The 23167-nt window shown below is 39.7% G+C and overlaps 1 protein-coding gene across 7 annotated transcripts in view; it reads left to right on the forward strand.

The window, feature by feature from the left end:
• RASGRF2 (Ras protein specific guanine nucleotide releasing factor 2) overlaps nt 1–23167 on the forward strand; it is a 269800-nt gene that overhangs the window by 96489 nt on the left and 150144 nt on the right. For 5 of the 7 annotated variants that reach the window (NM_006909.3, XM_005248565.2, XM_017009683.2 and 2 more), the window contains exons 3-5: nt 11181–11328; nt 13641–13730; nt 16348–16601. In NM_006909.3, the coding sequence (NP_008840.1) occupies nt 11181–11328; nt 13641–13730; nt 16348–16601 (492 nt within the window). Of the gene's footprint in view, nt 1–8499; nt 8750–8770; nt 10516–11180; nt 11329–13640; nt 13731–16347; nt 16602–23167 lie in introns of those variants that run through there. The other 2 variants (XM_047417466.1, XM_047417465.1) reach the window with 2 other exon arrangements.

A 23167-nucleotide genomic window follows, 5' to 3' on the forward strand; every position in this document is an offset into this window, starting at 1 on the left:
TTGTTGAATTGATCCCTTTACCATTATGTAATGGCCTTCTTTGTCTCTTTTGATCTTTGTTGGTTTAAAGTCTGTTTTATCAGAGACTAGGATTGCAACCCCTGCCTTTTTTTGTTTTCCATTTTCTTGGTAGATCTTCCTCCATCCCTTTATTTTGAGCCTATGTGTGTCTCTGCACATGAGATGGGTCTCCTGAATACCCGCAGCACACTGATGCGTGTTGACTCTATCCAATTTGCCAGTCTGTGTCTTTTAATTGGAGCATTTAGCCCATTTACATTTAAGGTTAATATTGTTATGTGTGAATTTGATCCTGTCATTATGATGTTAGCTGGTTATTTTGCTCCTTAGTTGATGCAGTTTCTTCCTAGCATTGATGGTCTTTACAATTTGGCATGTTTTTGCGGTGGCTGGTACCAGTTGTTCCTTTAGTGACCTGGGCTGTGACATTTCATTTGGGTTTTGCTGTAGTTTGCTTCATATATACGTCCTCAGTCAAAATAAGTGGGGTGGAATTCTGGCCCAGCAACAACAACTTTTTGCTAAGCTAATATAATTTTTGCCCTTCTATAAGATAACTAAGGTCTGTAATTTCACACTGTGCCTCTGCTTTGGACTTTTCAACATTTTATTTGAATGTTTCCTTTTCTCCATATGGAGTGATGGTGGTTAGGATTTTTTATTTATTTTTATTTGTTCATTTATGATTGATACATGATTATTGTACATATTTACGAGGTACAAGGTGATGCTTCGGTACACACATGCATTGTATCATGATAAAATCAGGGAAATTAGCATATTAATCAGCTTAAACATTTATTATTTCTTTGTGATGAGGACATTAAAAAACCTCTCTTCAGCAGGGCACAGTGGCTCGTGCCTATAATCCAAGCACTTTGGGAAGCCGAGGCCAGTGGATCACTTGAGCTCAGGAGTTCAAGACCAGCCTGGGGAACATAGTGAGACCTCGTCTCCACAAAACAATCAAAAAATTAGCCAGGCCTGGTGGTATGCACCTGTAGTCCCAGCTATTTGGCAGGCTGAGGCAGGAGGATGGCTTGATCCCAGGAGGTCGAGGCTGCAGTGATCTGTGATTGTACCACTGCACTCCAGCCTGGGCAACAGAAGAAGAACCTGCCTCAAAAATAATTAATTAATTAATTAATTAATTAATAACCCTGTTTTCCAGCTATCTTGAAATATATAATACATGATTATTAATTCTTATAAATATTACACACTAATATTTTATTCCCATATATATCCTAATGTTGACATCTGTTTGTACTCAACAGCTGAATTTTGAGTTATGCTTTCACCAAGTGGATTTATATGTCCTTTGGCAGGGGGATCCTTTTTTTGTTGTGGGAGTTGAACTAAAAAGCGAAAATACAAAATAAAAAAATAGCTAACCAAATGAAAATAATAAGGAGATTAGGCAAACATTTTAAAACTTGAGTACTACCTAGTAAATGGAAAATTTAATCACATAAGATATGTGTTGGCAATATAGTAGAATAGAAATGCCAGTGGTTTGAGAAATAGTGAAGGGAAGCCCTGCATGTGTTTTCAGTTGATTTGATGCAATCCTGGAGCAGACATCCATTTACTAGTGGGATATGTAAAGAAAGTTTTGTGATGCAGAGTTGGGGGGATACCCCAGTAAGAGCAGAATAGGAGTAGTAAACTAGGGAGCCCTAATGAAATCAATGGCATGACCTGAAAATTACTATGTGAAGAATAAGGAGCCATGCATCCTGGGCAACATAGTGAGACCTCATCTTACGAAACACAAACAATTGGCCATGTGTGATAGCTTGCACCTGTAGTCCCAGCTACTTGAGAGGCTGAGGTGAGAGGGTTGTTTGAGCCTGAGAGGCCGCTGTACTCCAGCCTGGGCAACAGAGCAAGGCCCTGTATCAAAAAAAAAAAAAAAAAAAAAAAAAGAGAGTGTGTAAAATAAATCATATTAGATGAAATAAATCATATTAGATGATAAATCATATTAGATCATATTAGATGATTTATTTCATTTGAATAATATGATTTATTTCATTTGACAATGACATTGAATCATTTGAACGACTATTCTGTGCCAAGTCCCCAGGCCTGGACTTGTCTGTAATCTTTTTGCCTGGATTATTATTGTAATAGTTCCAACTCTTCCCCCTTCTCCTCTTGTGCTCCACCCCTACCCTTCTTTCTCATCAGAACAGCCAGTGGGATCCCGTTAAAAACTGAAATCTTGGCTGGGCGCAGTGGCTCACGCCTGTAATCCCAGCACTTTGGGAGGCTGAAGCCGGTGGATCACGAGGTCAGGAGATCCAGACCATCCTGGCTAACACGGTGAAACCCCCTCTCTACTAAAAAATACAAAAAATTAGCCGGGCCTGGTGGCAGGCGCCTGTAGTCCCAGCTACTAGGGAGGCTGAGGCAGAATAATGGCGTGAACCCGGGAGGCGGAGGTTGCAGTGAGTTGATATCGCACCACTGCACTCCAGCCTGGGTGACAGAGCGAGACTCCGCCTCAAAAAAAAAAAAAAAAAAGTGAAATCTTGTAAGGCCTTTGATCAAAGCTTACACCTCGCTGGACTGGGGGAAAACCTGAGACTTTCTATTGATCTACGTGATTTAGAATCCTGTTCCCTCTTCTACCTCTTTCTTACTCCCTGTCTTAGGCCATTCTTGCATTGCTATAAAGAAATACCTGGGCTGGGCGCGGTGGCTCACACCTGTAATCCCAGCACTCTGGGAGGCTGAGATGGGTGAATCACGAGGTCATGAGTTCAAGACCAGCCTGGACAAGATGGTGAAACCCCGTCTCTACTAAAAATATAAAAATTAGCCAGGCATGGTGGCGGGCACCTGTAATCCCAGCTATTCAGGAGGCTGAGGCAGAGAATTGCTTGAACCCAGGAGGCGGAGGTTGCAGTAAGCTGAGATCGCGCCACTCCACTCCAGCCTGGGCAACAGAGGGAGACTCCACCAAAAAACAAAAAACAAAAAACAAAAAAAACAACCTGAGGCTGGGTAATTTATAAAGAAAATAGGTTTAATTGGCTCACAGTTCTGCAGGCTGTACAAGCATGGCACTGGCATCTGCCCCACTTCTGGAGAGACCGCAGGAAGCTTTTACTCATGGCAGAAGGCGAAGGAGGAGCAAGTGGGTCATACAGCAAGAGCAGGAACCAGAGAGAGAGAAGATGCCACACATTTTTAAACAATCAGATCTCATGAGAACTCATTCACTGTCTTGAGGACAGCATGAAGCCATGAGGGATCTGTCCCCATGATCCACACATGACCCACACACCTCCCAATAGGCCCCACCTCCAACACTGGAGATTACATCTCAATGTGAGATTTGGGTGTGACACAGATCTAAACCATACCATTCCCCTTGAGGAAACTCACCACTTTGTCATTCCCTAGACAGGCTAGGCCCACTCCCACTGCAGGGCTTTTGCACATACTGTTCCCTGGGCCTGGATGCTGTTCCATCAGCTAGCCACGCATGTCCCTGCTTCAAGTCGTTTCTCCAGTACCATTTCTCCATGAAAGCAGCCCTCACCGCTTGGTTAAAATTGTAACCTCTGCCCCCCTACTTCCTGTTCTCCTCTTACCATTTTTCCTCTACAGTACTCATCACCAGGTGACATATGATAGATTTGTCTTATTAATGTTGTCTTTCTCTCTCTACTACTGTATAAGCTTCATAAAGACACAGATTTTTTTCCTACTGTGTTTACTCCTGTGCCCAGTATTTTGAACAGTTCCCAAATATACAACACTCAGTAAATATTTATTGACTCAAAGAATCAATTTGGACTCGCAGGAACCCAGGAAGAAGGAAATCATGTTACTTATAATCCCAATGCATGAAGTAAATAACTACCATTAGGATTTTATGTATTTTCTCTTTTCTCCCCACTTAATATTACAGAAATATTGGAAAGTATGGAAAAGTACAAAAGAAGTAACTCAAGAAGAAATTAAAAATCACCCATAATTGCTCCAGCCAAAGAAAGCTCCCTTTAAGTTTTGATGTATGTCTCTCATTAGAGTACCTTTCTCTCTGTCTCTCTCTTCCCTTCTCCTCTTCTGCTTATGTCTGTGTATACACTTAATTTTCTCCCTCTGTGTATGAACATATATACATGTACATGTACATATAATGTTTATCTCAATTTCTTGTTTTTTTTTCTGTTTATTTATCAATAAATCTTGGGTATGTGCCATTATGTTATGACTATTTTCAAAAAACATATTTTAAATGGCTTGTTATCATTCCATTATGAAGATATATTATTACTTATTTAACCAATCCCATATTATAAATGTGTATATTTAGATTGTCTCCATTTTCTTATATTTGTTTTTAATGAATGAACATTTTGTTTCTTTTGTATCTCGTTGTGCAAGTGTCAGATTATTTTTCTTGAGTGATATTATTAGAAGTGAAATTATGAAGGCAAAGGATATAACCATTTTGACCTGTTTTGATACATATTGTGATATTGTCTTCTACAATGACTCACTTCAGTGGTACTATATGACAATATCTATTTACTATATCTTTGTTAGCCCTGAGTACTATTTTTCTAAAAATCTTAACCAGTTTTGGTAAATAATTTGTAATTCTTTGATTAAGAAGGACTTTTTTTTTTTTTTGAGACAGGATCTCTCCCTGTTTCCCATGCTGGAGTGTGGTGGTGCAATCATAGCTCACTGCAGCTTCAAAATCCTGGGCTCAAGTGATCCTCCTGCCTCAGCCTCCTTGAGTAGCTGGGACTATAGGTGTATGCTACCACACCCAGCTAATTTATTTCCTTCCTTCTTTCCTTCCTTTCTGAGATAGGGTCTCATTTTGTCACCCAACCTGGAGTGCAGTGGCATGAATACCATCATTGCAGCCTTGATCTCCCGGGCTCAAGTTACCCTCCCGCCTTGGCCCCCCAAGTAGCTGGGGCTACAGGTGCATGCCACCACACCCAGCTTATTTTTGTATTTATTTTGTAGAGATGGGGTTTCACCATGTTGCCCAGGCTGGTCTCAAACTCCTGAGCTAAAGTGATCTGCCTGCCTCAGCCTCCCAAAGTGCTAGGATTACAGACATGAGCCACCACACCTGATCCCAGCTGACAAAAAAAAAAAAAAAAAAAAAAAAAAACTGTAGAGATGAGATCTTACTATGTTGCTCAGGCTGGTCACTCCTGGCCTCAAGCTATCCTCTCACCTCAGCTTCCCAAAGTGTTGGGATTGTAAGCATAGGCCACTGTGCCCAGCAAGAAGGACCCTTTTTCATGCATTTATTAGTCATTTGTTTATTACATTGTGTGAAGCCCTTTTGTGTATTTCTTGACTTACTAATTTTAGCCAGTGTGATTGATTCTCTGGCATAAAAATGAAAAATTTAACACCCTTACAATACCTCTTATGTCCCTGTCTTTTGCCCGCTCTGTTTTTGTTACTTACATATTTTTAGATCTTAAATTGGTTGACTTCATAACTTAAAATAATATAATTAAACCTCTATTGATTTATCAACTTTAGACAGTATGTATTGTCTCTGCTAGGAAAAATAAGTATAATAAGTTAAGACATTTAATGTGTTTTCATTGTTTTTTCTTTTCTAATCCTGAGGTTTTCTTTCATTATTATTTATTCTCACTTTATAAACTTTTAGACATATTCTGTTCTCTAAATTGTTCCTCTGTGTTTTGTCATAGGCTGATTCTGAAAATTAAAAACCAACAAGGAACATTTCCATAGTGGTTATAACAAATATTGTGTCCCAAAGTATCAAGGTTGGTGTTTGGTCCCACAGAGAATGAAATGTACCGTGTCATTGAATATTTGCTCCTTGAAGAAGAACCTTGTGTGTGTCAACTTCTAGTTTCTTTCTACCTTCCTTTACTTCATCTGGCTTGTTTTCTTGCATTCAATGTCATTTTATTGTCTTTGATTTCTGTTTTGTTTGGTTGGAAAACCTCCTCATAATGTTTTCCTGCAGTAAGTGTGTGGGGATAGTAAGTTTTTCCTGTCTTGTCCTGGTACTTGGTCAGTGATTGGTTGTCTGTGTATTGTTTATTGTTTTAGAAATTGTTATGCAGGCTCAAAATATTTTCTCCACAATTCTTTGTTGCCACCTAGAATTCCAAGTTAATGATGAAAAGTATGACAGAAAAAAAAAAACTATGACAGCATGATTCTCACTTCCTTTTGCTACCTATTGTTTCTCTTTGGAAGCTTCTATAATTTTTCTCTATCCTTAGAATTCTGATATTTTACCAAGATGTATCAGAGTATGAAATGTTTTCATTTATCTTGTCTGGTATTTGGATTATTCTATTTGAACTGTGCTATGCTCAGTTCAGGGAAAGTTTCTTCCATTTCTGTTTTTTCTTTTTTAGATGGAGTCTCTCTCTGTTGCCCAGGCTGGAGTGCAGTGGCGTGATCTCGGCTCACTGCAACCTCTGCCTCCCGGGTTCAAATGATTCTCCTGCCTCAGCCTCCCAAGTAGCTGTGACTATAGATGCCCGCCACCACACCTGGCTAATTTTTTGTATTTTAGTAAAGACAGAGTTTCACCATGTTGGCCAGGCTAGTTTCAAACTCAGGTGATCTGCCTGCCTCAGTATCCCAAAGTGCTAGGATTACAGGTGTGAGCCACAGTGCCCAGCTCTCATTTCTTTATTATTAATATTTTTTCCCTATTGCAGTGTAACTTTTTTCCTTTCTGGAACTCCCACAAGACAGATATTAGACTTCTTGGATCTATACTCTAGGTTACTCAGTTTTCCTTTTATATTTCCAATCTCTTTATATTTTTGTTTAGTGTTCTTTATTTGACCTCTCTGACCACCCAGCTTAGTTTTTAGCCATGTCTGGGTTATTGGTTAGTAATTCCATTGAGCTATAAAATTTTAGTAATTATCTTTTTTTTCCAAGAACGCTTTTTTAAAAAAATCTGATTACTCCTTTTCCATGGCAGCCTCTTTTTGCCTTATGTCTAATATCCTTCCATGTCTTTCTGTAGGTAGTAAGTACCTTTTTTCCTGAATTAGCTTTGTTTCTTTTAATGTCTTTTCTGTTTGTTCATTTGGGGCTGTGTTTGTTATCTCTTGCTGCTTAACAATTTTTAAAACAATAAACAATTTATTGTTATACACAGTTTCTGTGGGTCAGGAACCCAGGCATAGCTTAGCTGGGTGCCTCTGCCCAAAGGTATCTCACAAGGCTACAATCAAGGTGTTGGCCAGGTCTGTATTCTCATCTGAATGCACAACTGGGGAAGGATCCACTTCCAAGTTCACTCACTCTGCTGTTGGCTAGGTTCGCTTCCTTACCAGTTGTTGGCTTGAGCTCAGTTCCTAAATGACTCTTGGCCAGAGGCCTCCTACAGTGTCTACTTTATTCATGGGCCTCTCTGTAGAGTAGCTCAGAACCTGGCAGCTGACTTCCCTCAAAGCAAACCAGCAAGACAGCAAGAGAAGGCAAGTGAGATGGAAGCCAGAGTCTTATAAACCGATCATGGAATTGCCATCCCATCACTCCTGCCATGTTGTATTCTTTATAAGTGAGTCACTTAAGTCCAGCTCACACTCAAAAGGAAGGCCCTTTTACCTAAGGGGTTGAGTACTAGAAGCCGGGGATCATTAGGGGGCCATCTTAGATGCTGCCTACTATAGGGGCCTTTTGTGGTGAGAGGGGAGTCTGGTTTTCATGAGTGTCTGCTATTCCTTGTTTCTAAATGAAGGATCTTGTGGGACATTATGGGTAGTTGGTCTGGGCTTACTCTGTGACTGTGAATGCTGCATCGTGTAACATGTGTCAGCTTCCTTTTCAGATATGTGGGCAGACAGTAGGAAGGTGATTTGGAAATTCTTCCTTGTATAATTCTATACCCTTTAGCCCACACAGCTGGAAACTGTTACTGGCTACTACCCACTAAAATATGGAAACATGATGGGATAGTGACGTCCTTGATTAGGTTATGTTATATGGCAAAGGAAAAGAGTTACTGAAGATATCATTACAGTCTTAAATCAGTTAATATTGAGTTAATAAAAAGGGTCGTTAGTGGACCTGATTTAATCAGATGAAAGACCTTACAGAGCAGGTGAGAAATGTTCTCCCACTGGCTTTGAAGAAGGAAGCTGCTACGAGTTCTACAGCAGCAAGGAAATGAACTTTTCTAACAGCCTGAATGAACTTGGAATAGGATTCTTGCCCAGTCAAGCCTCAAGATGATAATGCATCTTGATTGACACCGTGATCGTAGCCTCGTGACATCCTGACCTAAAGGTCTAGCTAAACTGAGCCTAGACTCCTAATCCACAGAAACTATGAGATAATAAATATATGTTGATTTAAGAGCCTGGAAGTAAAATACACTGTATTCATTTTCTATTCTGTAACAAATTATCACCAAATTTAGTGGCTTAAGTTCTGTTTTTACAGAATAGAAAATGAATACAGTGTATTTTATTTCCAGGCTCTCTTAAAGCCTTTCCCTTCTTGGTTCTCCCTTGTGTCCACGGTGAATGTCTGGAGTAAACCCAAGCTCTGTTCTCAGAGTCCAGCTCCTTCATTAGAGTTCTTCTTTAGGAAGGTGCCACCCTTTTCTAGAGAAAGCAGACCTTGCACTGTCAGCTGGGGACATGTCATTGCTGCCAGCTGTGCCTTTTATTTCTTATTTTTGAGGGGTGTGAAGAGGAGGAGCCTAACTTCACATATTCTAAAGGTACTTGTTTAATGGAAGATCATAACAATTGCCCTTGCCTACGCTCTGTTGTTTACATTTGCTGCTTCCGAGCTTGGAGACTCTCCGGGCCACTCTTGGTGAGAAGTGTGCTTATGCAAGGTATCTGTATCTGTGGTTTCCTCTACTCTCATTTCCCCACCAAGCTAATTCTGCTTGCTTAGTTTTTCTCTTCATGGAATTTTACAAATTCCATTATATAGGTGCTGAGGATGTCTGGTCTATTGATGGCATATTTTCCTGTTTTTATCATGCTCTTATGGTTTCATTCTTTAAACAGAAAACAATTTTCCTAGCAAAGACCTTGGAAGCGCAGGGAGGGGGACGTTGGTGATGAGTCTGTGTGAAGTCAGCCTTGCATTCCAAACTGGACCTGCCTTTCTCTTTTTCTTTTTCTTTTTTAAGAGAAAAGAAAATACTGCTTTGCTACCTAACACTGATGTAATATATTTGTAACCAATTTGGCATATTTCTAATAAAACTGATGAGAAAGGCAGAATTTTTATAACAATTGCTTTTTTTATGCTCTATTATTATTTTTCTCCCTTAAGTTCTCCCACAGCATATTCCTATCAAGACTCTTCTATCTTTTCTTCTTCTTTTCCCTTCCTGTCACTTGTAATTTCATAGCCTCCCTTTCTATTCTCTTTGGGTAATTTCTCAGAACGAGTGACTTAAAAATGTTGCTGACACGGTTCTTTTCTAACCCTAACAACACGCACGATACAGGTGCTGAGGATGTTGAGATAATTGATCTAAAATTGTGATTTTAGAAGTGTCTTAAGACTTTTAGTTCCAAGCAACACAAACCAAGTAAGCTAAACCTCAAACCAGTTTAGGTTAAAAGAAAGAATTTATTAGCAGGACACTGCAGTATCTCCCTGAACCCCAGCCTAAAATTGTGTTCCAGCGTCATGAGGGCCTGGCACCAGGAACTAGAAAGCTACAGGAGCCCAGGTAGCCATTAACTTTCTGTCTCAGACTTTCTGTCTCTCCTGTCTTTGCTTTTCTGAACATCCGCTTATTCTTTTCTCTCCCGTCGGACTCACTTTGACTGTTTTGGCTCGGATGTGGCCAAATATGGCTGCCCAAAAATGGCAACTAGAATTTCCAAGTTAATATTATTGCAGTTCAAGCAAATAAAGCGAGGTAGAATCCCAGATTCCAAGGGGAAAGAATCCATTTGGTTTAGCTTGCACCAGTTATCTCTTTTTAGGCTGGTTTAATGTGGTCATGAGGGCAGCTTTTGTGGTATAAACATGGCTTGCCATGGCCCAAGTTCCCAAAGAGGAGGTAAGTGTGTGGAAGATTGGGCAGGTATCTCAAAACACTTCCGCTGCAACATTCTTGTTTATGTCCAGCGTGCACTTTCTCATGAGAGAGGCAGTTTAGCTGGTGTTTAAGAACATGGACTTCGGGTCAGACATACCTTAATTTGAATCCCAGCCCTGCTACCTACTAGCTGTGCGATCTGAGGTCAGTACTTCGCCTCTGTGAAGATCAAATTCCTTCTCTGGGCAATTGGGATCACATATCTCCTGGGGTTGCTGGGATTATGAGATGAAATAATGTATACTATATCCTATGCACTCAATAAATAGTAACTATCATGAATTATTACTGTCATACCATTGGGGAAAGATGATATGCATGGAAGAATATCCATTTCATCATCCTGAATGATGCAAGAAGATCTGGAGGCAAAATTTTAGATACCACAGAATTATATCATCAGTAAAAATCTGAGAGTAAGTTTTGTTTTACCATACTTGACCAAAGACATAGATACAGGCTAGGCTGCAGGAGTTAGAGCCCAAATAATCTAAACTTAATTCTAGAATATAATTTCTATTTCTGTTGGCTTTAGAAATAGAGTAGTCAATGATTTTGCAGTCTTAAAGAGAGCCCAACAGAGTTGGTAGTCACTAATACAGACATAATAGATTTTTTCCAGTTAGTGCCTGTTGTAATGGTCTCTGCATTCATTCTGTTTGGGAGCAGGTTTATTTTGATTGGCTAATATCTTACTCGGTGAAATATTTTGAATAGCATCCCTGGAAACCATGTGCCAGAATTCAAAAGACCTCAGTTTTTTTGTTAAAGAAGACACACTACTTTCTTTTTAAAACTATTACAATTTCTTTTGTACTTTTCCCACTTCTATGGTAAGATTTTTTGGGTAGCAAGTATCATTAAGTGAATTCTTAGTAAAGGATATGTAAAATGATTATTTAAATTCTTCATCGTCGAAGGATACCAAATGTAAGCTGAAAGTTAACATTTATGTCAAGTAGAGATAGCTGAACAAACAATGCTCATAACTTCTTTTTCAAATGTAGCATATTATATTCTATATGGAACTCTATATAGTAGAACAATATCTCAATGACTAACTGTGTAATTTTCTCTCAAGTTATGCAGACATTTTGATTGAGAGGGAAGTATTAATGCAGAAGTACATTCATCTAGTTCAGATCGTAGAGACAGAAAAAATTGCAGCTAACCAACTCCGACATCAACTTGAAGATCAAGACACAGAAATCGAAAGGCTTAAATCAGAGGTATTTCCCAGTCAATAGATTCCTTCTCATTGTTTCACGTTTACCGTCATTTCCTCATGATTACTTAAGGCCTATTCAGGGCAACATTTTAATCCCAGGCTGACTTCCTCTGACATCAACACATACGTGGCTGGGCCTGACCTAGACATGAATCTAATGTCTATATTAGGATTAAGTAAATGTGCTACAGGAACATATCAGGATAATGTGCTTTTTTTTTTTTTTTTGGTGGGGGGTGGTTATTTGTTCTCCTGATACCCTTCATTAGCTCAGAAATTCAAGAATTGATTATAGCATTTAACTGTTTTCAGATACCCTACAGTAATGATAATTATGAGTCTGCCATAGATTCAATTAAAGTCTAAAATGACAACTAAGGGAGAACCAGCAATGAATTCAGAAATACTTTACTCTTTTAGATTTGAAGGAGTCCAACCTTCTCCCCTCCACAGTTTTGAAAAGAACATTTGGATTAAACTATAAGACATTTGCTAGGGTGCATTTTTCCCTGGAGTTGGAATTCCTGCCTCCCCCTCCCTCCCTCAGAGTGTGAACTTCTCAGGCCTTGCATCCCCAGATAGTGAGGCTGATGCCCAGTGTGAGCAGAAGGCGGTTTTAGAGTCCACAGCCATGGTGTGTGCCTGAGTCCTCCCTCCCTCCCAGGCCTCAGTCTAGATAGAGAATCCTGAATGTACCTTTCCCGCTGTCCTATCCTTCCTCATGGGCAGTAAGCAATCACTGAAGAATGGGAGAGGAATGCAGAGAATGAAATTTCCTCCCTCTTTCTGCCCAGGGATGCATTAGTATCTTCTGAGATTCAAAGAAGGGAATAGGACACAATGAAACCTACTAGTAATTGTATCCTCATTGACAGAAACAGTTTAGGCTTGTCAGTTTTGGCAATGTTCTTGTCATTTTTATTGTCATCAGACAACATTTTCCTTTTTGTGTCTTGCACCTTCCTCTGAGACATACCCTGTGAATCCTAGGTGGGGTTTTCGCCTTCTGCTCCCTACACACATCACCTCCGGTGTTGAGAGTATGGGTACAAGCGTCCTCCAACAGAGATGTGGCAGCTTCTCTGATGATGACAACTTGCAGATGGTGTTCACCATATTATTACAGTTGTTAACTTCCCAATTCGACCCTGATATGTGATATAGTGAAAACAGCAACAGAAAACTTAACAAACCTGCATTTTAAAAGACTATATCAGGCACTGTTATTTAAAACAAAATTATTGTGTTCTTTCTTAGCCACTGTAAGCTGGAGCAGATGCTTGTCTGCTCAGTGAAAGAGGTTGGTATTTACTCCACGAGAGAAGCTCAACACCAGGCGATGTTCCTCAATATTTGTGTGTGTTTATCTGCCTTCACTATGTTCTATTTTAGTCTGAATGTAGATTGCAGCAAAAAACTGTCAGTTGCAGGTATGTCTTCTCTGGTCTCTTGACAGGAGCCATAATTTATTTCCTACTCCCTTTCTTTTCCCACCTCCTTGCCAGAAAATGGCAGAGGGGTGTATTTGGTACTGGGGACAAAATAGAAAGACAGGCTAGAGAGGGGCAATTATGATCCCTTAACTTTTAAGGTATTGCTGGCTAGTAGGTCTGTATAGGTTCTTAAGCTTGTAAGAGCCTGCTGTTGAGTGCCGGTCTAGAGAATTTTACTGCTATGTGTAGTTGAGAGGCCACCCAGTCTTGAAATGCCCCTCACAGGTCACAGAACTGAGCTGGAGATATAAAGAGATCCCAGGTTAGTTTGATCCTTTTTACCTTTTCTGAGGAATTCTCTTGGTTGGCTTGGACCAGCCCCAAGGCTCTGAAGTTCCCGTTACAGTTGCCATTTTCCTAAGGATGTCTGTGAGTCTGGGGTGCCATGTGGTTTGGAAGACTACAGGCCAATGGCCAGAACCAGGGGCTCTGAGCTGAGTGTCACTGCATGTGGGGACCACAGGACATTGCAGGCAGCCACCTTCAGGCGAGGGGATGGACATATCACTGGACTCCTGACAAGGTCTTGGCGGGCTCACCACTGGCAGCTGGGGCTGAGTTTTGGGCCAACATTTCTGCTAGCCCAGATCCCCGGTCACACTTTACACAGTCACTTCTTATAAACACTTTCATTGGTGATACCATGCTTGGGGTAAAGTTCATGTTTCCCCCATCTCAGCACCAAAGGAAGAGAGTGTGCATAAAAAGTGGGTGTTTCCTGAGGATCTCATTGGACCACCTTTGTAGGCAGAGCTTCCTGTGTGTATGGCTATAATCCAGCATTTCCCAAATCATGAAATGGACCAACTTTGTGTTCCAGATTATTGCTCTTAATAAAACCAAAGAACGAATGCGACCTTACCAAAGCAACCAAGAAGACGAAGATCCAGACATCAAGAAGATTAAAAAGGTAGGGCCTGGAGGTTTCCAGCTTTGTAGGAGCATGGTGACCAGTCGTCTGTTCTATGGTGGTGTCTTTGCCACCCTGTGCGTGAGCCGGGAGCAGCCTTGGTGTTTCTGGGCTATGGCTCCCAGACTTGCCCTGCAGAGTGATCCAGACATGGCTACTCTAGAGAATTTCTGCTTGAGATTTCTTTACACTGTCTAGGAAGGATGCCAAAACCAGGCATTAAGACAATAGTGTTCTCCAGTGGGGTTAATTAAGTGCTGTTCAACCTCTTGATTTTGTGCGGCTTTCATATTTTGGGGGAATATTTTTTAAATTACATTTCAAAAATATTTCTTTTAGCTTTAATCTTTAGTGTTATTTAAGAAAGATTTTTTGGGGGGCATGTGTGAAGATTGAGTAAATCAGCACATCCGCTTATATTTCTGTTTTATTATTGCTTCTTGTTTAACATCCACACAATCAGCAGATTTTTCCCTCTTACTGCCATTTATAATTGCACAACTTTTGCAATGAACCAAATGCTGGCTCTCGCTCTCACTCTAGTCCACTGTGTTTTGATTTGTCATTTAGGTTTTGATCCTATGATCTTGATTGTCTTATATAAAGCACTACTCAGCTTTGTTAATAATAAGTGGAAAGCATCATATTTGAGGAAATTTCCCTGGATATACATCTTCAAATCTTATTTCTTTTTAATTTGTTATTATTCCTCTTATTTTATGCTAATAATCTTTCCCCTTTCACTGTAACAAAACTTTAATGTGCTCAGCATTTACCTGGACACTTTAAAGATGATCAGCAAATGTTTGTTGATTGGCTAAAACACACAGGCCAGTGCACTTTCTCAGGCTTGCCTATTATTTTTCACATCATCCCTATGGAATTCAGATCAATTTTAGAGACTATCATGTTTTCTACAAAATTGATTTTAAATTATATTTTATATTCTTTTTTACAACTTTAAATATTGCTCAGAATTTGAAATAGAAATGATTCTTAGGACTAGTCAAATGTTTTCAGTTTTCCAGAAATAAAAAAGTAAAATAACACTATTCATTTCTTAGAAATTAATTTTTTTTTGAATCAAGCTTATGCTATTGTGTTATAAGATTAATTAGTTTTTTTAAAAAAAATCCCATCTAGTCAGTCTGGAGACAAGATTAATTCTATTGCCTTTCCTTTAATAGTATGTAGTTGCATGTAAAGAAAAAATTAATAAAATTCAATTTTCAGATGTGTGGTAGAAACTAGTCTATTACTAAATAAGTGAAGCATCTATTGGTCGGCAAGCACCCCCTGCCCAAGTAAATAGAAAGGTTTTACTTAACACAAAATCCAATTAAGTTGATTTTTAAAAATATTTCTGTTAAATGAAAGAATACTGATAAAATTTTAAAAATATTTTTCTACCTTCTTGTTTCTTAATAATTTTTTAAACCAATTTTTGTACTTGTTAAATAGGTTTTGAGATTAATTTTTTGTTCTTTATGTCCCATTTCAAAATAATGTCTGCATGGAAAAAAGTGTTAACAATGAATGAATCGTTTCTCTATTTTGGTCTTGGCAAATATCAACCTAATTTTTGTTTACCTTGATAGACTAAAACTTAAAATTGGTTATAATTCATGGAAATTTTTGTTAGATTTCTTCAAATAATCTGAATATAATTTCCCCACATGATTGTGTTAAAATGTGGTTAATTTTTATTGAGGTAGAGTGAGTTTAATGCCTGTATAAAAACTGATAACATGGTGACGACACTGGTAGGCAGGCAAGAGAATTTTAGACATTGCAAAAGAAGGGTCGTTGTTTAATACGTGATCATTTAGAACATAGTGTGGAAAAAATAAAAAGTGTAAGGATGTGTTAAATAGATAATAATGATACTTTGGTAGTGATTTAATACTTTCAATTATATGTGAATTTACAACCTACTTTGTTGCTGAATCTGCCACATCTAAAGTGAGAAACCCTAGTTATCATAAAACAAATCCTAGTTAATTATGTTATAATTTTTTATATTTAGAAAGGACTTTAGATTTTTTTGTTAATCATTTTATTTTAATTTCATGAAAAATGAAAGCAGTCTGGTAACACGAGATTAAAAACAGAGAAAAAAACAAAACAAACAAAAAAAACAGAGAAACACGAGATGGGGTCTTGCTGCGTTGCCCAGGATAGACTGGAACTCTTGGGCTCAAGTGATCCTCTCACCTTAGCCTCCCAAATAACTGGGACTACAGGCCTGTGCATGTCCAGCTCTGTCGGTTATTTTATAGATGAAGAAACAGAGAATCAGAGGTCAAGGTGGTTGCAAGTAATGGCAGAGCCTCTGAGTTAAAGGTTTTAATATATACTTGACTGCTCAGTACCCAGCATTTACCTGGGCATTTTAAAGATGATCAGTAAATGTTTGTTGATTGGCTGAAACACACAGGCCAGTGCACTTTCTCAGGCTTGCCTGTTATTTTTCACATCATCCCTAGGGAATCCTTATCAATTTTAGAGGTTATCATGTTTTCTGCAAAATTGATTTTTAATTATATTTCATGTTCTTTTCCATAAATAAATCACCATTGTAACTAGTCAGATTCCTTTCTGATTTTTTGTTCTGTAGGTTCAGAGCTTCATGCGAGGATGGTTGTGCAGAAGGAAATGGAAGACCATCGTGCAGGATTACATTTGTTCTCCTCATGCTGAAAGTATGAGGAAGAGAAACCAGATTGTGTTCACCATGGTGGAGGCAGAGTCAGAGTACGTTCACCAGCTCTACATCCTGGTCAATGGCTTTCTCCGGCCCCTGCGTATGGCCGCCAGCTCCAAGAAGCCCCCCATCAGCCACGACGACGTCAGCAGTATTTTTCTTAACAGGTTTGACATTGCATAAATCAAAGAGTTATGAGAAAAACCCCTTTGTATTTCCAACAAGAATTTTTACTTAATCTTTAAAAGGGTCTCATAAATTCATCTCTATTAGTTTATGATAGTAAAAATAAGAAAGCTATTACTTGTGTTCCATTGTTATTTTATTTTATTTTATTTATTTATTTTTTTTGAGATGGAGTCTTGCTCTGTCGCCCAGGCTGGAGTGCAGTGGCACAATCTCGGCTCACTGCCAGCTCCGCCTCCCGGGTTCACGCCATCCTCCTGCCTCAGCCTCCCAAGTAGCTGGGACTACAGGCGCCCACCACCACACCTGGCTAATTTTTGTATTTTTAGTAGAGACGGGGTTTCACCGTGTTAGACAGGATGGTCTCGATCTCCTGACCTCGTGATCTGCCTGCCTTGGCCTCCCAAAGTGCTGAGATTACAGGCGTGAGCCACCACACCCAGCCTGCATTGTTATTTTTACATCTTTACTTGAATCTTGGCATCTAATGTTCTTAATTTTTTCTTCTCTATTTGACCTACATTGTCTTATCGCATGGAGATGTGTGTTGGGGAATATAATCACTCATAAACTGAAGAAAATGGAGTGATTATGGGTTTTTACATGTTAATTATACACAAGTATTTTAGGAAGAGCAAAAGCTAAGACAGGACCTGAGAAGCTCTGGTGAATTTATTTGCTCAATAAATCATTAGTTTCCTTACTGCTGAGGATTCATCAGTGAAAAATCAGAAAATGCCTGCCTTTATGGAACTTAAATTTTGATGCAGGAAGATAGACAATGAACAGCATTAGTGAAATAGATAGTATATTATATGGCCATCAGAGCTGTGGAGAAAAATAAAGAAGGGAATGGGAGAAGGGGGTCAAGGGAGGGTTTAGTGTTTTACTTAGAATTTTAGCTATTTGTTTTTGAGTAGATAGTACACTCACATGGTTCAAAAGTCAAAATAACATGAAAACAGCAGTTAGCAGTTGCACTGTCACCCTGTCTCTGTCCACCCGATTCCCCCCACTTTCTATACGTAATATCTGTACTAGTTTCTTATCTATCCTTTCAGTGTTTCTCAATTTTGATCTAAGAAACTATGAATATAGAGTCTTATTTTCCCTCTTCTTACACAAAGGCAATGTACTTTAACATGTACTTCATTGTTTCACTTAACATTATTTTCTGAAGATCTTTCCATATTGATACCTAAAGAGCATTCTATTAAAAAAAATCACGACATGGTATTACAATCTGTGAATGTACCATAGTTTTTTTATAGCAGGTTTTCAGAAAAGTTTCAAGGATACGGTGACATTCGAGCAAAGGCTTGAAGTTCCTGGAGGAAGAGTGAGGCAAGCAGAGGGAGCTGTGCGTGCAGGGGACATGGGGCTTTCACGTGCCCGGCAGTCCAGCTTGAGGACCTGCCCTGCTCAGTGTCAGTGAAGGGAAGAGTCAGGGAGTTATCAAGGTGGGACATGGTACAGCCATTAACTTTTGCTCTAAATGAGATGGGGAGACATTGGTCAGGTTTTGAGCAGAGAAGGGGTGTGATGTGACTTCTGTTTTGAAATGCTCTCTCTGGCTTCTCTGCTGAGAATAGTCTGTAGGGAGATCAATTAGGTGGCTATTCAATAAACAGAGTGAGAGATGAGACACCTGTTAGGTAGCTATTTCAGTAATCCAAGTAAGAGATGATTATAATGGAGGCAGTATAAGTAGTTGGATTCTGGGTGTATTTTTAAGTCAGAGCCAGTAGGTGTCACGGATGCAACTAGCTGGGGCCAGTGTCACGGAATTTACCAAAACAGTTGTGGATAAAGCAAGGCAGATTTGTTAGAGAATGTGTGAAAACATGTTGCAAGGGTGCAATGGGCAGCACAGCAGAGAAGGGGCTGTCTGCAGAGAGGCAGGGGCTGGAGGGAAGTTTTATACGGTCGTGCAAGAGCGGGCTAGGTGTGGAAAGGTCATTCCTTGTGCCAGCGGGTTGTGTTTCTCAGAACAATTGTTCATTCTTCTCCCCTACCTGGAGCCTTCCCCCATCGGAGGCCCCTTCCTTGTTGCTTACTTATCCATCAGGACTCAACAGTTGGGATTTGTTGATGGGTTTGATGTGGGTTTTAAGAGAAAGCAAAAAGGTAAGATTGCAACGTTTTTTGGTCTGGACAACTAGAAGGATGGAATTACTGTTTACTAAATGGTAAAGATTGAGTGAAGAACAGGCTGAGGGGAAAAGATGACTTTTCTCTTGGATCTGTTGAGCGTGAGATGCTATTAGCCATCTAAGTGGAGATGTCAAGTGACTAGGGATCAGATATTTGTTTGGAGTTCAGAGGAAGATTCTGGGCCGAAGATAGAAATTTGGGAGTCCTCTAGCATACAGATAGTATTTAAAGCTGCTAGTCTGAATGGTATTACCAAGCAAGTGAGTACAGATGGATAAGAAAAGAGGAGCATGGATATTCCAACATCTAGAGGTCAGGAAGATAAACAGGAGCCAGCAAAGAAGAGTGAAGAGGATCCTTTGAGTTGTCAATGAAAACCAGAAGAGTGAGTTGTCCTGGAAACGAAAGCAAGAGGGAACCAACAACGATGCCAAAAAAGTCAAATGAGCAATAACTTAGAATTGACCATGGGTTTAACAACTCGGAGTTTAATGGTAACTCTGATTAGAGACCAAAGCCTGATTGGAGGCTTAGGAGAGAACAGGTGGTGGGGCGGAGGGAAGAGGATTTCAAAAGGGTGGGTATAGAAAATTCTTTTGAGAAGGGCTGCTGTAAAGAGGAGAAGAGAAACAGGGTGGTACCTAGAGGCAAATGAAGAGGGTAAAAGAAGGATGGAGGAGAGAGGGAATTGCTGAGCAGTAAACTTGCAAAGGCGAAAGTGGACAGAATGTACTGCTCAGGTCAAGAGATTGTCATTAGCTGGGAGCATGGCAGGGAAGGAATAGTACATGGACACTTCTGTAGTTAGGAGGCAAGGACATCCGCTGATGGGGCAGATGGGAGGGAAGTGTCGGAGTTGGAGAAGAGAGAAAGAGGTGTGGAATAGTGATAACTAGGGCAGGGAAGGATTAGTACATGGACACTTCCGTAGTTAGGAGGCAAGGACATCCGCTGATGGGGCAGATGGGAGGGAAGTGTCGGAGTTGGAGAAGAGAGAAAGAGGTGTGGAATAGTGATAACTAGGGCAGGGAAGGATTAGTACATGGACACTTCAGTAGTTAGGAGGCAAGGACATCCACTGATGGGGCAGATGGGAGGGAAGTGTCGGAGCTGGAGAAGAGAGAAAGAGGTGTGGAATAGTGATAACTAGGGCAGGGGAGTAAATGGATTCAGGAATGTTGTATTAATGCTGGGAAGCACTGAGAGCTTGTGTTAGCTTATTAGGCTAGTGGTTGTGACTTTCCAGTGAGATCAGTCAGGATGGTTGCATGTTTTTCTTTAGCCACTTTCAGCTGCATGGATGCAGGTGCAGAGTGGGTGGAGGATTGGGATTAATTAGGATTGGTGTTGTGGCTGCTGTGGTGAAGTGAGAAAAGAATAAGGAAGTTGAAGCTGTATACAAGGAAGAGATTATAATAATGAGCCATGGAATCTAAACTGAGGAAAGAAAGTAGTGCTGGTATGAGAGGTTTTTGCCAATAAAAAGGTGGTGGGATCTGGGGATTTAGGTCATGCTAGTGTGAAAGAATTTTGGAGTCAGGGTTCTAAAGGCAGTGAACTGAAAGATTAGGAGTAGTCAGAGAATGTTGTGCTTGAAATTGAGACAGGGAAGGGATGCAGCTATTGACAATGACAAGGTCTAGAGTACAATCAAAGGGGTGTTGACCGAGGTCAATGGAGGACAAGATCTTTGGAGGAAGAGTTCAAGGTCCTGTGAGGCCAGGATATTGAAATGTTGTTTGTGTGCATATTGGAATCCCCAAGAATTATGACAAGAGTAGTGTTGGAGAAAAGAGCAACTGTGAGCTGAGAGCTCAGATCTCAAGGCATCAGGAAGAGCCACTGGCGTGTCTGTAGATGAGTGCAGAAAGGAAGGGTGATGAGTGGTAGTCTGATAATACGAGATTAAAAGCTAGGCTTTCTTTTGTTAAAAGGAAGGAGGGAGATTTCCCCACCTTGCTGGCAATGGCTCCTCTCAAGTGTGTGGGACATCCAAAGGAGCCTGGGGGTAGCCCTTGATCCTCAGGCAGTACAGCATTCTGGTGATACTTCAGTCACCAAGTGTGCAGTTTCAACAGGTCTGATGGCAGTGGATGGGATTGTGTACTGAACTCTGATAATGAGAGGAACTGGAGAGGGTGGGTATTGAAAACTCTTTTGAGGAGAGCTGCTATAAAGAGGAACAGAGAAACAGGGTGGTACCTAGAGGTAAATAAAGAGGCTGTGCCACATTCTTTTAGGTTGCCTCTGGCTCTTTGTTTCCACTGGATTGCTTGATCTGAATCAGGAAAGGCCAGGTTTATCATATTGTTTAAATTCAGAGTCAAGATATGCCTCTCTTTGGAAGGTAAAGCTATAAGCTCTTCATATAGACTAGCAATTATTTACCACATCTAGACTTAGATGGAGATTTGAAAAGAAATTTTTAAAACTTTTTTATTTTTAATTTTTATGGATACATTTTATGGTTACATAATACATATACATAATATGGAATGGATATATAATAGCTGTACATATTTATGAGGTATATGTTATAGTTTGATATAAGCATATGATGTAAAATGATCAAATGTGGGTAATTGAGATATCCGTCACCTCAAACATTTATCATTTCTTTTGTGTTGGGAACAGTCTAAATCTTCTAGATATTTTGAAATAAGTTATTGTTAACTATAGCTGCCCTATTGTGCTATCAAATAATAGAAGTTATTCCTTCTATCTAACTGTACTGTTGTACCCATTCACCAAACCCTCTCTTCATCCTTTCCTTCCCCACTACCCTTCCTAGCCTCTGGTAACCACCATTCTATTCACTACCTCCATGAGATTAACTTTTTTAGCTTTCAAATATGAGTGAGAACATGTGATACTTGTCTTTCTGTACCTGGCTTATTTCACTTAACATAATGTGAAGAGGTGTGTTTTTAAAGGTGAGGCTTAAAGAAGTTTTATATCATTACTGTTGTTTAACTAGATTCCCTTTACATGCCTTTGAAATTAAGCCCTAGGCAGCTCAATAATTTTGAATTTTAACACAGGTTTATAGTTAAGAAAATGCAATCTTCCTATTTATATACAGAATTGTTTCATCTGTTTTCTAACCATCCAGGTATCAAAATATGAAGGTAGATGTATCCATTAGTTTGTGTTCAACATAGGACAGAGAAATCCCTCGCTGAGTGGAGGGAATTCACTGCTTACAGAATCTGTTGGAAAGGCTGGGGGAGTAAAGTCAGGGAGCAGCCCTTAAACTGTTGACTTTCAGAGAACATAGACTAGATCCAGAGGTTAGGAAACCACTGCCACCACTGCTGCTGCCACAGATGCCTCTCAGACTCTGGAAGCTGGTTCCCAGAAACTAGAATCCTAAAGCTGGGTGCTGACATTGCCCCAAAGCACTCACATCGCCATGACTGACTTTCAGCCATAGGAAGATGGCCCCTACTTCCGCCTTCTGTGTCTTTCCAAGTGCATCTATTAGTGGAACTGAATTTACATCCAGAACCATAGCTGCAAGGGAGTCTGGGAAATGTAGTTTTAGTTTTACCCCTCTCCACCTAGAAGGAGGATGGAATACAGATTGAATGACTAACCTATAATACCTGCCAAAGTAGATTTGGTTGAAATCCTTGAACAACAAACACTACTTAGTTAAATTGTTATAAAAGAAAAATAAATTAGAATCTCATGGAGCCATTTCTGTTTTATTTCGTGGACCATTTGAAATAGTAAGGATTTCTTGATGTCTGTTGTAATGGAACTTGACTAATAACAAGCCAAGGGATCTCACTGAGATGAACGGTTCTGTATTTGATTGTGTCACTGTGTTAGTTCAGAAAAGGCTTCAAAGGCTCATTGCAGTAGGTTAATTCCAATGAGGAGAAAGCAATGATGTTTTGACTTTGGTAATTACCCTTCCTGGCCCTTTTAGGAATTTAGATCCCTAAGTTATGCATCATCCTTATTTTAGTATCTCTGTGTAGGCTTCACTCTTTTCAGAAGATTCTTTTGCATTTCTGTCTTGGGTATCTTGGGAGTGGTTATAGTGGAGTTCTCTCAAAATTTTTGCTCTAGATTTTTTTCAACCTCTCTCCTTCTGTCAAAACTCATTTTACTGACAGAGAAACTTTCTCCTGAGTTATCTAGAATCACATATGAAGAGAAAAAAGGATCATAACTTTAATTTTCTGATTATTGATTGAAATACTGCATTCTAATAGCAGAAAGCTCACTTAAAAATTGATGAAGAAGGTTATGTGACAATGATTTGGTGCTTTCTGTCCTCTAATATTTGAATGTTATATCAGGGTTTGCTGAGGCTGTCATAATTGCTTGATTGAGGATAATATAATCCATGTTATTATTGGGTATAGTTTGGAGGCCCTATGGG

The sequence above is a fragment of the Homo sapiens genome, chromosome 5 (genome assembly GCF_000001405.40).
Source record: "Homo sapiens chromosome 5, GRCh38.p14 Primary Assembly".
In the NCBI taxonomy this organism is placed as follows: Eukaryota; Metazoa; Chordata; class Mammalia; order Primates; family Hominidae; genus Homo; species Homo sapiens.